This window comes from Homo sapiens, chromosome 11, assembly GCF_000001405.40.
Source record: "Homo sapiens chromosome 11, GRCh38.p14 Primary Assembly".
Taxonomy (NCBI): domain Eukaryota; kingdom Metazoa; phylum Chordata; class Mammalia; order Primates; family Hominidae; genus Homo; species Homo sapiens.
The window spans coordinates 107,795,423-107,812,491 of record NC_000011.10 but is presented as its reverse complement, the minus strand read 5'-3'; the positions used below and the strand labels follow the sequence as shown (position 1 = coordinate 107,812,491).

The window sequence follows — 17,069 nt, the reverse complement described above, 5'->3', positions numbered from 1 at the left end:
TAAGCCCAGCTGGTCTTGAAATCCTGGGCTCCAGCTGTCCTCTGCCCTCACCTCAACCTCCTGAGTAGCTGGGATTACAGGTGCACACCACTGTGCCCATTTGGGAAAGGGAATTTAACCACTTTTCTCTTACTTTCATTCTGGTGCTTTTATTGAACACTTGGTCTCTGATGATACTTTAACTAGGGTTTCATGCTAGAAAAAAATCTAACTCTGGTGAGCTGTTGCAGGAGTTTGGGTTATGAAGAATGGAAACTAGGAGGGGGCCACATTAGAAATACACAATAGCCAGGCGTGGTAGCTCACGCCTGAAATCCCAGCACTTTGGGAAGCTGAGGCAGGCAGATCACTTGAGCTCAGGAGTTCAAGACCAGCCTGGGCAACATGGTGAGACCCCCATCTCTGCTAAAAATACAAAAATAATTAGGTGGGTATGGTGGCGTACGCCTGTGGTCCCAGCTACTCAGGAGGCTGAGGTGGGAGGATGGCTTGAACCCAGGAGGCAGAGGTTGCAGTGAGCCGAGATTGTGCCACTGCACTCCAACCTGGGCAACAGAATGAGACCCTATCTCAAAAAGAAGAAGAAGAAAAAAGAAAAAAAAACAAGAAACTCTTGCTTCTACTCTTTTATCTTCAAATCAACATGTATGGTATCATTTGCAAGTAACATGTACTAACCCATATTTCTTTCAACCAGGCAGTGATAACCTTTTAGTAATCTTGAAAAGAAAATGGTGGAAGTACATCCTGCTGGGACTAGCAGATGTGGAAGCTAATTATGTGATCGTCAGAGCCTACCAGTACACAACTCTAACCAGTGTCCAGGTAAGAGGGAGCCCTCTGACCACTTTGGATTTTATAGCTTCAAAAGAAGAACACGAAGTCATATGTGTTGACCTAATTTTATTGAAAATCTATTCACTTGAAGAAAACCTAAACACAGGTGGATGCTGTTTTCTAGTAGAGCATATGCTCTAATGAGTAATGTTTCCTAGAATTAGTGAAAATGTATACAACTTAAGCTGCCCCCAAACTGCTATGGCAGATTAGAACAGTTCCTACCAAATAAGCATAAATATTTAGTTGGCAGTTGATGCTGTGGTGTTGACACGTGTTCTGTTTTATATGCTGCTCAAACATGGCATATGAAAGTATACCTTTGTTCTATAGGAAAGTTGAAGCTTTGCAAGCATAGTAGATATTCATGACAAAGAAACCATTGGAAGAAACCCAGTAGACATTTTTGGGAGAGGTGGTAGCCAGAGTTAAAACTCCCATCCCTATTTCTTTGTTAGGTTTATTCTTGCTGCATTGAAAGAAAAATATTCCTACATTGCAGAGGTTTTCAACTTTGTAAAGTTGAAGACAACTGATTTCAGTTGTCTTAATGTTAGCAAACTATGGGATGTTTCCTAACACTGACTCACCATTACTGACTACAAAATGTTTTATAAGTGGAGGTGAAAGTGAGATAGACTCAAATGCCAGGTTTAGATGTCACAGTTTGTTTATAACTTTTTTTTCATTTTTTTAAATAATAAAAAAAAGTGTGTATCAGATGTGGGATTTGAAGTTTATAACTTTTTGATATGTCCCTTTCTCACTATACAAAATACAGAGATGTTCTTACTTGACTCCAAATTTTAGGGACTGGAAAAATTGAAATTAGACTTATTTCGCATAGAAAATATAAGGATTGATGAGAACTCAGTATTTTTCCAGTGTGAACCTACATTAAATGTTACTACCATTATATTAACTACTTTCTTTTCTGTAACATTGTGCTAAGCATTGTTCTCAGGAAACCTCTTGGATTTTGACCAGTATGGGTTAAAAAGCTGAGATAGGAAATGATTTATTAAGACAGACACTATAGGAGGCACAAAAAGAACCTAAAGTTTCGTAAAAATTAAACCCAGCAGTTACCTAGAGAATGAAGTTTATCACTAATAGGAGTAAGTGTACTTTTAGCGTTGGTTAATGAAGTATACATAAGTATGTAGAAAATGGTATTTTCTTGTCACATCTACTCTCATAATCTCACCTACATTTTAATTACTTGATTACAATTCCCAGGAACTTTGATCTCTAACTAATGATAAAAAGTTTTGAATTGGTGCAAGGCCTAAACACAGTTAAACAGAACACTTACAGTTGGATAGTTGCGACTGAAGTTCATGCCTTCTTTCAATTTCAAAGAAATTGAAAACAATTTCTTTCACGCTAGCCTCTTAGAAAAACCTAAGCATTTGGTTGCCAAAAGTCATGCACTTACGGTCCTAGCAAAGAATATATTATAAAAAAGGCATCTAACAAGGTAATGTTTTCTCCAGCAGCAGCGACAGCTGTGATAGGAATGATTCAAGCTGGTTCTCCAACTGAGTAAATCTCTGGCCTGGGTAGTCCAAAAGGATGGAAATCTGGATTAGGTGGTCTTTGAACCTTCTTCTTAAGGATTCCTTAGAAGGTTCTGTAATTACCAACAGTCATGGGATAGTTCACGTGAAGATGATGATGTGGCCCAGGTTGCTGCTCATGTCCCTTCCCACTTTACTGCCACATCAACCCATTTCCCACTCATGGCCTGCTCCTTCTCCCCTGTGCTGCTCTGTTCTTCCTAGAATGCAGTCCTTTTTGAAGCCTGCTCCCCTCATTGTCAAAGGTTAATTCAATTTTCATTTTCTCTTCTATACTCTATTGTACCTCTAATATGATCTAACTTGTTTTTATACCCATGTCGCAGGGTCTGTCTTAGTACTCTGCTTACTGTGACTATACAATAATTTTTAAAAATAAAATTGATACTCTTCGAACTGAAACAGAGAAGACATCCATCACCAAGAATACTTTTTTTTTTTCTGAGAAGGAGTCTTGCTCTGTCACCCAGGCTGGAGTACAATGGCATGATCTTGGCTCACTGCAGCCTCCGCCTCCCAGGTTCAAGTGATTCTCCTGCCTTAGCCTCCTGAGCAGCTGGGATTACAGGCACGCGCCACCACACTTGGCTAATTTTTTTTTTTTTTTTTTTTTTGAGGTGGAGTCTCATTCTGTCACCGAGCTGGAGTGAAGTGGGATAATCTTGGTTCACTGCAGCCTTGGCCTCCTGAGTAGCTGGGATTACAGGCATGCGCCCAGCTGATTTTTTTTTTTTTTTTTTTTTTTGTATTTTGAGTAGATACGAGGTTTTGCCATGTTGGCCAGGCTGGTCTCGAACTCCTGACCTCAAGTGATCCTCCGGCCTTGGCCTCTCATAGTGCTGGGATTACAGGCATGAGCCACCACTCCCGGCCACCAAGAATACATTTTGAAAAGAAGGTTCACATGACTAAAGGTGATAGATATCAGATGAGAAGTCATGGAATGTTAGAGTCGGAGGGAAACTGTGTGATCATTTCGTCTGATCTTTTTATTTTATATTTTGACTTGGAGAGTGACTGGCTGGGGCCACACAGCTAGCTGGTCAGCGTGGGGCCGGGGCCTGAGGTTTCTGGAGCTCTGATCATGACATAGGCATCTCCCTCATTGCCCAACAAAAGTTGTTAAAGATAGAGCAAATTTAAGTTTGATTTTAAGACACAAGGGACTCTTCTGTGGTAGTTCTTAGAATGTCTTTTTCTACTTTTTTTGTTTAAGGAATGTAGTTGAGATTTTGTTAAGCCGTTATGGCTGGATTCTGCTGGTGTCTTCAGGGACAGGGTATTATCATTTGCATCGTTTAATGTTTTGTTATTCAGGCAGGCTCAATAAAGCACTTAGGAGATTAGAGTTCTGCAGCTGGAATAAATAACAAGGCAAGATGCCCATTCCTACACATGATGCGTTGGACTCCACTGATGCTACTGCAGTGAAAGGCAATCAGTAAACAACTGTGGACAGGATCGAATGGGCTGTTGGAGATTTAGGGGCCTGTCTTGTTCAAGACCAAACAGATACAGAGAGAATCAGGGACAAGGTTTGAAACAACAAAAGGGTGAGCAATAAAACAGCAGTTTCGGGAATATTACTGGTATAAGGAATATATTTCTTCCTTGAAAGAAATACATTGGAATGCATCAAGAATCTCTTGAATATATTTTATCCTTGAATGCACATTAAATTTGTGAATTTAAGAATTGAGTGAGTGCACTCTCTTTTTTATCTTTTATCTTGCAAACAATTTTGGACCTGCTGTAATTTTGGCACACTTAATCCCTCTGCCTTCCAGATGAGCAATATCAGGTGTATAGCTAGTGTTTTCTGGACCCAGTATCAACAGGTGAGGGGGAGCATGTGAGGAGGATGAGCAAGAGTATTTGCCATGAGCACGAGTGTGTCTCACATGGTGGGGTTGGACGCTTTGTCAGGGAGATGGTGTCTGTTCTCTCACAGTAACCCATGCTTCTTTGTAGCGCTTAGCCCGATTCCAGTGAAATATCTGGTGGTGTGATTATTTATTCCATGTCCTTTCTAGCTTTGTGTGCTCCTAAGGACACAGCTTGCTCTGTCCTGTTCACCGCTATTCCTAGCTCCTTTCACAGTGTCTCACACATGCAAGGTGTTTAACAAATATTTGTTGACTGAGTAAATGGTTGCAGGTAGGAAGGAATGTTTGTCTACTGAACTTAAAGATATACACAGGGCCAGGCGTGGTGGCTCACGCCTGTAATCCCAGCACTTTGGGAGGCCGAGGCAGACAGATCACCTGACATCAGGAGTTCGAGACCAGCCTTGCCAACATGACAAAACCCCATCTCTACTAAAAGATACAAAAATTAGCTGGGCATGGTGGCAGATGGCTGTAATCCCAGCTCCTTGGGAGGCTGAGGCAGGAAGAATTGCTTAAACCCGAGAGGCAGAGGTTGCAGTGAGCCGAGATTGCACCACTGCGCTCCAGCTTGGGCAACAGAGCGAGACTCCATCTCAAAAAAAAAATAATAATAATAAAATAAAAGAAAAGATATACACAGGTGGGAGCATAGAGGTAAAGTGCACAGGCCCTCAGCAGAATTCTTGTATACAGCAACTGACTCTTCCATTGTATTTTATTATCTATTCATTTATTTTGAGACAGGGTCTCTCTGGGTTGTACAGCCTAGAGTGCAGTGGCACCATCACAGCTCACTGCATCCTTGAACTCCGGGCTCAAGTGATCCTCTCACCTTAGCCTCCCAAGTAGCTGGGACTACAGGAGTGCACCACCACACCCAAGGTTTTTTTTTGTTGTTGTTTTTTTTTTTTTTTGTACAGACAGGGTTTCACCATGTTGCCCAGGCTGATATCGAACTCCTGGACTCAAGCAGTCTGCCCGCCACAGCCTCCCAAAGTGCTAAGATTACAGGCGTGAGCCACCGTGCCCAGCTGTCATCCCATTTTTAACTATGTGTTTTTGGCAACTCATTTCACCTCTCTGTATCTTCATTTTCTCATGTATAAAATTGGATTGTAATTTCAGTCTCATGGAATTGTGAGGATTAAATGAGTGAATCCAGGTAAAGCTCTTAGTACAGGGCTGGCAATAATAAATGCTCAATAAATACTGACTCCTATTATAAATACTGACTCCTATTATTTCTTAATTACCCATCTTTTAGCTAATGAGAGATATGTTTTAAACTGTTGATTCTCTTTCCATGCAGCTTTTGGATTGCTTTGGGATTCCTGTGTTGATGGCTCTGTCATGGTTTATTCTTCATGCAAGATACAGAGTGATCCACTTCATCGCCGTGGCTGTCTGTCTGTTGGGTGTAGGAACCATGGTTGGTGCAGACATACTAGCAGGGAGGGAAGACAATTCAGGTGAGACGGTGTCACATGTTTGTGCTTCAATCACAGCAAATTTGTTTATGTTTTCACTTTTATATCAACAAAGAAACTTGTTTACTGGAGTATTTCTTTTTAAGTCACTGTGTAGGTGAGAACACTTTGCCACACTTTGTGTTGAATTCAGTTGATAGTATAAAATCTAATTGAGGTCTATGAATTCATCCAATCTTCAAGTGAGTTAAACGTCTCCTTGGATTGAGAGAGAAAATTACAGTTGATACTATAAAATCTAATTAAGGTCCATGAATTCACCCAGTCTACAAGTGAGTTAAGTGTCTCTTTGGATTGAGAGAGAAAATTATAGTTGATAGTATAAAATCTAATTAAGGTCTGTGAATTCACCCAGTCTACAAGTGAGTTAAGTGTCTCTTTGGATTGAGAGGGAAAATTACTTTGAAAGCAGGTTCCCATTTTTCAAATTGACCTACCCCTTCAATGAACTCCATTAATTTGTCATGTCATGGAATCATTTTCTGAGGCCTTACATTATGATATATATCATCAGTTTCTAGCCTGTTAGACTTCTGAGGAGTTAAATTATGAAAAATTACAGCAGAATTGCACCAGAAAGTGAGAAGAGTAAGAGATTTTAAACTTCTAGTAACCAGGTTGGGTGCGGTGGCTCACACCTGTAATCCCAACATTTTGGAAGGCCAAGGTGGGTGGATCACCTGAGGTCAGGAGTTCGAGACCAGCCTGGCCAACATGGTGAAACCTCGGTCTCTACCAAAAATACAAAAATTAGGCCAGGCACAGTCGCTCGCACCTGTAATCCCAGTACTTTGGGAGGCCAAGGTGAGCGGATCACTTGAGGTCAGGAGTTCAAGACCAGTACAAATGCAAAAATTAGCCAGGCATGATGGAGGGTGCCTGTAATCCCAGCCAGTTGGGAGGCTGAGGCAGGAGAATCACTTGAACCCGGAGGTGTAGGTTGCAGTGAGCTGAGATTGCGCCACTGCACTCCAGCCTGAGCAACAGAGCAAGACTGTCTCAAACACACACATACACACACACACATACACACACACACACTCTCACACATAAACTTCTAGTAACCAGTTTCTTCTTCTTTAGTGTCATTTAAATGAACACGAGTCAGATGACCGCCTGGAGGCACGCTGTGGAGGTTCATCTGTTGACAGTGTTTTGCTTTCTGTGGCTTGTCTTCCTGCAGGGAGTGATGTATTGATTGGTGACATCTTGGTCCTTCTTGGGGCTTCCCTCTATGCCATTTCAAATGTTTGTGAGGAATACATCGTGAAGAAGCTGAGCAGACAGGAGTTTTTAGGAATGGTGGGCCTGTTTGGAACAATTATCAGTGGTATACAGCTGTAAGATTCTACAATTTTTTTCTAAAGACAAAATAAGCAAATATATTATAGATGATAACTACTAATATTCATTGTTTATTTGGCCCAAATTCACATTTGGAATTAGTATTAGGTGGATGCAAGAGTAATTGTGGTTTTGCCATTACCTAATAACTTGCTGAGTGTCTACTAGAGGATTGTTAAAACATCAAGAATTACTTCCTATTTTCTTAAACATGTGTGTTGCTTAGGATTCCTGATTACCATGTGGTAGAGGCATTTGCCAGTAAGGAGTTTTTTTAGTTATTTCCAGAAAATATTAACACATTAACTTCCTAAGCTTATTCAAAAACAAAGCATAATATCATATTTTCCTCCTATACTTGACTATTATTTCAGAGCACCTGTAAGGGAGTCAAACATATCTTTATGAACTCCTTTGGTTTTATTCTTTGTCATTTTTATTAAAGATCGTTATTTTTATATTCTAAGACAAATTCAAATGTCCATGTAATTCCTCACTTTAGCTGAAGTATAGTGACTAAAATGCTTATAAAATAGTGAAAATTAGTATGTGGACCTCTCTGTGACCTCTTGTTTTAATCTTAGATTGATTGTGGAATATAAGGATATTGCCAGCATTCATTGGGACTGGAAAATTGGTATGTAAAGAAATAATTCCTTTTAGTCAGCATTCTTTAACAAACAAATGAACATCTAGAAATATGTGCTTTATTTTAATAATATTTAGACGTCTTTGTAAAATCCAGGAGTGATTTAATACATATCAACTATAGTGGTTTACATTGAGTTTTCTCTGAAAATTGGTAGATAAGCTTCCATAAAAGTTAATTCTTAATCTTTACCTGCAGGAATAGCCTTTGGTTACTAGGAATCCTGAACAAGACTGGAGATTGACCTTTGGTCAAACCAGCTTTCAATTAGATCTGTATCTTGGGTCCTCAAACTTCTTGCGAAGGTTGTCTGCTTGATATAATTTGTGAAGCATTAACCTGAATCATCAATGGTGTGAAATCTCCCTCACCTCCCATTGCTCCTGTCATCTGATATTCCTAGGCATCTGCATAAATAAATAAAGGAAAAGAAAATGGTGATGGGACAGTCAGAAAAGATTGGAACCTGGTTTAATGATGGGGTGGGGAGAAGTTAAACAGTACATAGGTGTCATGGAAGATTGTCTACCATGGTTGGTAATTTAATTCAATTAAATAACTTAGATTGCAGGCCTGGTGCGGTGGCTCACGCCCGTAATCCCAGCACTTTGGGAGGCTGAGGTGGGTGGATCATGAGGTCAGGAGTTCGAGACCAGCCTGGCCAACATGGAGAAACCCTGTCTCTACTAAAAATACAAAAAAAAAAAAAAAAATTATCCGGGCATGGTGGCGGGCGCCTATAATCTCAGCTACTCGGGAGGCTGAGACAGGAGAATCACTTGAACCTGGGAGGCGGAGGTTGCAGTGAGCTGAGATTGCGCCACTGCACTCCAGCCCAGGCAACAGTGCGAGACTCCGTCTCAAAAAAAATAAATAAAAATAAAAATAACTTAGATTGCTAGAAAGTGTGTGTGTGTGTGTGTGTGTGTTGAGTATGGGATGAGATTAAAGAAGTAGTTGCAAAGCAGAGATACTGCTAATGTAGTCAACATCCACGTGGCAAGCACTGTCCTAAAAAGGATAATTATATTGTGCTGCCTCGGAGCACTTAATTTAATGAGATGAACAAAATACAATGGACCTAATAACTGTCTTTGATGTCTTTAAAGATACTTTATTCTGAATCCAATTATACAAATCATGTCCAACCAAACAAAAGCAAAGAAAACATAATGAGTGATTTTTCTTGACATGAGATGTTGATTCTGCCTTTATTGGCCTTTTATCACAGGCATCGCTGTCCTGGCAGGGTGCATAGCAAGGGGTGATTAAGAGCAATGGACTGTCACACCATAAGCAGGATTTTCTGACCTTGATCATCCAATACCTTGTTGGATTTTTTGAGGTCCTTTATCTACATCACAACTTGCTATTTATATTCTTTTTTCGAGAGAGCTTTATGGTCTCATTTTCAATGCTGACTGTTAACAAGGGGCTTTGTACATAATATGTTAAAGGGTTAGGGAGTTTTATATGACAGCTAAGCCTCAAACTCCTTTGTCTTATGTTTTCTTGCCCTAATATTAGATATTCCATGTTTTTTTCCACAGCCCTGCTGTTCGTGGCATTTGCCCTGTGTATGTTTTGCCTGTACAGCTTCATGCCATTGGTGATTAAAGTCACTAGTGCCACTTCCGTCAACCTGGGCATCCTGACAGCGGACCTCTACAGCCTTTTTGTTGGACTCTTTCTGTTTGGCTATAAGGTAAACAAATAGATCACGTTCAAATAAGAATACTTGCTTGGATCCAAAAAACGTAGCAGGTTTCTTCAAGACTCTAGATCAAAAAATAAAACCTTCTCATCTTCTTGGCAAGAATTTCATTGGTCAGGCCTCCCTTTGCTGCTTCTGAATTACAAAATGGGTTCACGTAAGAATTGTCCTTCTAGGGTTTTTCTAAAGAGTGAAATACATGGATTTCATCTTCGATGGTATGGCCCAGGGCACTAGCTTATGGAATTGTTAACGCATGTTTTCAGGTGATAAACAAGCTGGCCCAGAGCTGCTGTTGACCTTGAGGGACAGTGTAACTTAACCTGAGCACTAGGAACTTTTCCATTCATTCTTTTTGCCTTGGTATAGAGACAAAAAGTCTGGAGTACCTGATGGAAAGGAAAGAGAGATGGCCAGTTTATCATGCATGCATGATTGGAATGGTTCTGTCTTTGATAGTAATTTTATATCTTAAAGGTAATTCAGTCCAGTGGTTTTTCAGACTTTTTCTATCCACATCATCACAGCATTTACAAGCGTAACCTGCTGCCATCAGCAATGGGTCCTATTACCTGTACTAATTCTCAAGGCAGGTGGGGTGGAAGGGAATATATCAGTGTCTTCAGGGGAAGCAAGAGAGCAAATATGGAGTTTGAAAAAATAACATCCTCAGAGAGTCTGATACACCTTCCCTTGAGAATTGATTGAGCCATTCATTTTATTTATTTTATTTTATTATTTATTTATTTTTTTTGAGATGGAGTCTCACTCTGTTGCCCAGGCTGGAGTGCAATGGTGTGATCTCGGCTCACTGCAACCTCTGCTTCCCAGGTTTAAGTGATTCTCCTGCCTCAGCCTCCTGAGTAGCTGGGATTACAGGCACCCTCCATCATTCCTGGCTAATTTTTGTATTTTTGTAGAGATGGGGTTTCACCATGTTGGCCAGGCTGGTCTTGAACTCCTGACCTCAGATGATCTGCCTGCCTCAGCCTCCCAAAGTGCTGGGATTATAGGTGTGAGCCACCATGCCTGGCGGAGCCATTTATTTTAGACATGGAAAAACAAAGGCCCAGGGAGGTGATGTGTAGCTCAGTGACTTACCCTTAGTCAGCAGCTGGTTAATGGTAAAGCCAATATTAAGTCTTAGTTGTCAGTCTTCTATCAGTCCAGGCTTCTTGCCACTGCACTTTCCACCTTAATTTCATTATTAAGATAAGAGTCTCAAGCTTATGATTGCATCATGTTAAAGTCTCATAATCAGACAGAACCAAGTATATAGATTTTTTTTTTCCAACTTCACAGCTAATTTGAAAATTCCTAGGGCAGCAGTTTAGCAGTTCTCATCTATTTTTTTTTTTTTCTTAGATCCAGGGCTTGCTGATCACTCTTTTTAAAATTTTAAGCCCCTTTTAAATGCTTAAAAATTGGGAACCCCAGTCATTTATACCTATTATTTACCATATTATAACTGAAAACTGAGAAATTAAAAAATACTTATTAACTCATTAAGAAAATAATAAATTCATCATGTTATCATTTTTATGAAAAAATGTATTTTTCAAAATAAAAAAATAGTGAGAAGAATTTCATTGATTTATATTTAAAAAATCTCTTTACTCTGTGGCTTACTAGAAAAAACACCTGGATTCTCACATCTGCTTCTTCCTTCTGCCTTGTGATATCACATATCATGTAGCTTCTAGAACATTTCATTGTGCACTTGCAAGACGATGAAAGCGAAATGGGCAAATAGCATTTTAGTATTATAGTAATGATAGTTTTGAGGGCCAGGTGCAATGGCTTACACTTGTAATCCCAGCACTTTGGGAAGCTGAGGAGGGTGGATCACCTGAAGTCAAGGGTTCGAGACCAGCCATGGCCAACATGGGGAAACCCCCCTCTCCACTAAAAATACAAAAATTAGCAGGGTGTGGTGGCACATGCCTGTAATCCCAGCTACTCGGGAAGCCGAGGCAGGAGAATCGCTTGAACCTGAGAGGCAGAGGTTGTAGTGAACCAAGATTGTGCCATTGCATTTTAGCCTGGGTAACGAGCAACTCCGTCTCAAAAAAAAAAAAAAAAAAAAAAGTAGTAATAGCTTTCACTGTATAGATTCTTCCCCAGAGTTTTAGGTCCCCTCAAGGATTTTGGATTATACTTTGAGAACCCCTGCTTTAGAAATACCTCTTTTCAGCCTGGACAACATGGTAAAACCCCATCCCTACAAAAAAATACAAAAATAATGAGCCAGATATGGTAATGTGCACCTGTAGTCCCAGCCACTCCAGAGAGAGACTGAAGTGGGAGGATCACTTGGGGCCAGGGAGGTCGAGGCTGCAGTGAGCCATGATCTGATCACACCACTGCACTCCAGCCTGGCTGACAGAGCGAGACCTGTCTTTTCTCAGTGTGCCTTCAGTAAAGGATTGTTGACCTGCTTCCTATTTTCTTGACAGTCATTTGAGCAGATAGTTAGAATGCTGGCTGTTACCTGATAATTTTAGTTTCAGTAGAGGTTATTAACTATCTTTCTTCGTCCTTGTAGAATTTTGTATCCAGACAAATCCTTATTTATGCTATTCCCAGAAGTCGGCCATGAACTCACAACACTTAGCTGAATTACTGATACATTAAGCTCAGTGGATTCTCAGAAATTTCTGCTTAAGGAGTGTAAACCTTTGGTTTGCAAGGTTACATGTGAAGGAACCAGCTGTTATCTTTGCAGACTTGCTGGTTAAGGTATTCCTGAACTAAGACTGAAGGAGTATTTATAGCTTACTAGTAACATCATTAAAAAAAAGCCAGGCCGGGCGCAGTGGCTCATACCTGTAATCCCAGGACCTTGGGAGGCCGAGGCGGGCGGATCACGAGGTCAGGAGATCGAGACCATCCTGGCTAACACGGTGAAACCCTGTCTCTACTAAAAATACAAAAAATTAGCCGGGCATGGTGGCATACGCCTGTAATCCCAGCTGCTCAGGAGGCTGAGGCAGGAGAATGGCATGAACCTGGGAGGCAGAGCTTGCAATAAGCCGAGATCACGCCACTGCACTCCAGCCTGGGCAACAGAGCAAGACTCTGTCTCAAAAAAAAAAAAACAAAAACAAACAAAAACAAAAAAAAAGCCAAAGTGTGCCGGGCACAGGGGCTCACGCCTGCACTTTGGGAGGCCAAGGCGGGCAGATCACGAGGTCAAGAGATCGAGACCATCCTGGCCAACATGGTGAAACCCCGTCTTTACAAGTACAAAAATTAGCTTGGAGTGGTGGCGTGCATCTGTAGTCCCAGCAGGAGAATTACTTGAACCCGGGAGGTGGAGGTTGCAGTGAGCCGAGATCATGCCATTGCACTCCAGCCTGGGTGACAGGGTGAGACTCCGTCTAAACAAACAAACAAAAAAAGTAAAATAAATAAATAAAGTCAAAGTGAATCAGAGAAGTCATCCTGATGGGTGCAGATTTTTTTCTGAGAGCCAAATTGTCATAGACTACAATGTCAGCCTTAAGTTTTTCTGTGATGCCGTGGCTGCATTTCATCTGGCCACCACTAGGGGTGCTGGTGTTTCTATATAGCAGTTGCAGGCCAGTTGGTGGCCGGCTTTGGCTTCAACTGCTTTCAACTTTAAAATGAAAAATCCCTTTCTTATGTCATTTTTTGGCCACATAACTTTAAACTACTATTCTCAGAATCAGAGCATGCAGTTGATAAATTCCTTTCCAGTTATTTTGTGTTCCTTTGTCCCTGAATGTCTAATAGTACATTCTTAGATCAGATTTTTACTATTTTTGGTCAAATGTTTCAAGACTTACAGAGCAAAGAGCAGGTCTTCTGAAATCTTCAGAATAAATTACAGAGGTAGAAAAAACTCAGAGCATAATGAAGACACCTAGCACTTTAGAAGTAGTTTGTTTTGTTTGCGACAGAGTCTCGCTCTGTCACCCAGGCTGGAGTGCAGTGGTGTGATCTCAGCTCACTGCCACCCCTGCAGTCTGGGTTCAAGCAATTCTTGTGCTTCAGCCTCCTGAGTAGCTGGGATTACAGGCACCTGCCACCAAACCCGGCTAATTTGTGTATTTTTAGTAGAGACGGGGTTTCACTATGTTGGCCAGGCTGGTCTCGAACTCCTGACCTCAGGTGATCCGCTTGCCTCTGCCTCCCAAAGTGCTGGGACCACAGGGCATGAGCCACTGAGCCTGGCCAAGAAGTAGTTTTTAAAGGCAGATTGTAAGCTTGATACACTACCAGTTTTAAAAACTGTGTCTAAAATAACTTTGGCTCTAATTTTTTGAAGCAGACAGTTGAAAAAGAGGCTCAGAATTTTTTACGCTCATCCGTGTCCCTTAAGCACTCTGCCTCTCCTGAAATTGATCTTGAGTGAATATTTGCTGAATAAAGTAATCGCAAGAAACTTCCTGTATAGATCCAGACACAAAGAATTTTACAAGACAAAGAAGTAAGCGCCTCTAATTCAGGAGACTTAATCTCTTTATTAGTCTCTCCATCCTAATAAAAGTGACTCCATTTAATCACCTGCCTTCTTAAGAGAGACATGATAGTTTTTCTTCTGAACATTTAAAAGCCACCAAACCAAATATAACAGGTTTTGAACAAGTTATATAGGTGTTTTCACAGGTAACAGTAAACATTTTATGGGACAGCAAGATTACCTTTCAAAATACCAACTTAAGGCTGGGCGCAAGTGGCTCACACCTGTAATCCCAGCACTTTGGGAGACTGAGGTGAGTGGGTCACTTTAGTTCAGGAGTTTGAGACGAGCCCGGCCAACATGGTGAAACCCCATCTCTATTAAAAATACAAAAACTAGCTGGGCATGATGGCGGGCACCTGTAATCCCAGTTACTTGGGAGGCCGAGGCACAAGAATTGCTTGAGCCCAGGAGGTAGAGGTTGCACTGAGCTGAGACTGCACCACTGCACTCCAGCCTGGGTGATAGAGCAAGACTCTGTCTCAAAAAATAAATAAATAAAAATAACAAAAAAAAATAAAAAATACCAACTTAAAAAGTTTAGAGTACTCCAAACAGCTCTAACTTCCCCTAATATTCTCTGAATCAATTTTTTTCAACAAACATTTATTAAACACCAGCTATGTGTTGGGCCCTGTGCTATGTATTAGATCCAAGAATGAAAATCAGTGGTAGGAAATTATAGTTGTCTGCTTAGCTTGACATTATTATTGGTTTTGCATTATCATTTAATCCAGGAAGCATTTTCCTGTCTTGGGGAGGGCTGTGGCTATTACATTCCTTAAGGAATTCTTAAGGTTTAACGTTAAGAAATAATTGAGCATCTATAACAAGTTAGCACATTAAAGCTGTTGGTGACCCAAGGAGCCCACAGCTGGATGTGACCAGCAATCTACTTAATACTCATTTCAAAAAATTACTTAGTTTTTTCTTTTACCTTTGGGAGTGTATCTTGCTTTTTTTTAATTTTTAATTTTCTTTTTAGCGATAGGGTCTCACTATGTTGCCCAGGTTGGCCTCAAACTCCTGGGCTCAAGTGATCCTCCCACCTTAGCCTCCTGAGTAGCTGGGACTGCAGGTGCCTACCACTGTGCCAAGCTAGCTTGCTTGCTTTTTCTTCTCTCTCTGTCTCACTCCTTCCACCCCCTCCTTCCTTCTCATCTTCTTTCTCTTCCTTTTCCCTCCTTCCCTAGCCCATTCTGTTTTCTTACTGTTTTTTGCTGTCATCTCCTTATTTGAACTTTTTATTGGGCATAATATGAAACTTAAGCTAATTTAAAACTATTTATTGGTGTGAATAAAATAGAATGCCCCGTTCTTAATTTTTTATTGATACAAATATTTATACATATTTATGGGATACATAAGACATTTTGTTACATGCATAGACTGTGTACAAGTCAGAGTATTTGAGACGTCCATCACCTCGAGTATTTATCATTTCAACTGTAGTCAACCTACTCTGCTGTCAAACATTAGAACTTATTCCTTCTATCTAACTAAATGTTTGTACCCATTAAACAACGTCCCTTAGGCTGGGCATGGTGGCTCACGCCTGTAATCCCACCACTTTGGGAGGCCAAGACACACAGATTGCTTGAGCTCAAGAGTTTGAGACCAGCCTGGGCAACATGGCACAACCCTGTCTCTACAAAAAAAAAATACAAAAATTATACGGGTATGTTGGTGCACACCTGTAGTCCCAGCTAATTGGGAGGCTGAGGTGGGAGGATTGCTTGAGCCTGGGAGGCACAGGTTGCAGTGAGCTGAAATTGAACTACTGCACTCCAGCCTGGGTGACAGAGCCAGACCCTGTCTCAAAACAACCACCACTACAAAAACCTAACCTCTCTTTATCTCCCACCCCCAATCCACACATCCTCCACAGCCTCTGATATCTGTCATTCTATGCTCTACCTCCACAAGATTGACTTTTTAAGCTCTCACATATGAGTGAAACATGCACTATTTGTCTTTCTGTGCCCTAGCTTATTTCATTTAACATAATGACCTCTAGTTCCATCCATGTTGCTGCAAATAATAGGATTTCATTTTTTTGTGGCTGAATAGTATCCCATTGTGTTTATATATCATATTTTCGTTATTCATTTGTCCACTGACGGACAGTTAGGTTGATTCCATATCTTTGCTATTGTGAATAGTGCTGCAATAAACAGATGAGTGCAGGTATCTCCCTTTGATATACTGATTTCTTTTCCTTTGGATAAATACCCAGTAGTGGGATTGCTGGATTGTATAGTAGTTCTATTTTTAGTTTTTTGAGAATCTCCGTACTGTTTTCCATAGTGGCTCTACTATACTAATTTACATTCCCACCAGCAGTATTTAAGAGTTCCCTTTTCTTTTTCTTTTCTTGAGATGGAGTTTTTGCTCTGTTGCCCAGGCTGGAGTGCAGTGGCATGATCTCGGCTCACTGCAACCTCCGCCTCCTGGGTTCAAGTGATTCTCCTGCCTCAGCCTCCCGAGTAGCTGGATAGGTGCCACCACCACACCCAGCTAGTTTTTGTATTTTTAGTAGAGATGAGGTTTCACCATCTTGGCCAGGCTGGTCTCGAACTCTTGACCTCAGGTGATCCACCCGCCTCAGCCTCCCAAAGTGCTAGGATTACAGGCGTGGGCCACCGCACCTGGCCTAAGAGTTCCTTTTCTATACATCCTTGCCAGCATGTTATTTTTTGACTTTTTAATAATAGCCATTCTAACTGAGGTAAGATGATATCTTATTGTGGCTTTGATTTGCACTTTCCTGATGATTAGTGATGTTGAACATTTTTTCATATACCTGTTGGCCATTTATGTCTTCTTTTGGTGAATGTTTATTCATGTCCTTCGCCCACTTTTTAATAGGATTATTTGTTTTTCACTCTTTAGTCATTTGAGTTACTTGTATACTCTGGTTATTAGTCCCTTGTTGGATTAATAGTTTGCAGATATTTTCTCCCATTCAGGAGGTTATCTTTTCACTCTGTTGATTGTCTTCTTTGCTGTGCAGAAACTTTTTAGTTTAATATAGTCCCATTTGTCTATTTTTGTTTTTGTTACCTGTGCTTTTGAGATGTTAG

General features: G+C 40.8%; 1 protein-coding gene across 2 annotated transcripts in view; it reads left to right on the top strand.

Moving 5' to 3' along the window:
* SLC35F2 (solute carrier family 35 member F2) overlaps positions 1-17,069 on the top strand; it is a 67,797-nt gene that overhangs the window by 46,296 nt on the left and 4,432 nt on the right. For both annotated transcript variants that reach the window (NM_017515.5, XM_047427146.1), the window contains exons 3-7: positions 698-825; positions 5,616-5,775; positions 6,977-7,133; positions 7,722-7,774; positions 9,337-9,491. In NM_017515.5, coding sequence (NP_059985.2) covers positions 698-825; positions 5,616-5,775; positions 6,977-7,133; positions 7,722-7,774; positions 9,337-9,491 — 653 coding nt within the window. The remainder of the gene's footprint in view (positions 1-697; positions 826-5,615; positions 5,776-6,976; positions 7,134-7,721; positions 7,775-9,336; positions 9,492-17,069) is intronic.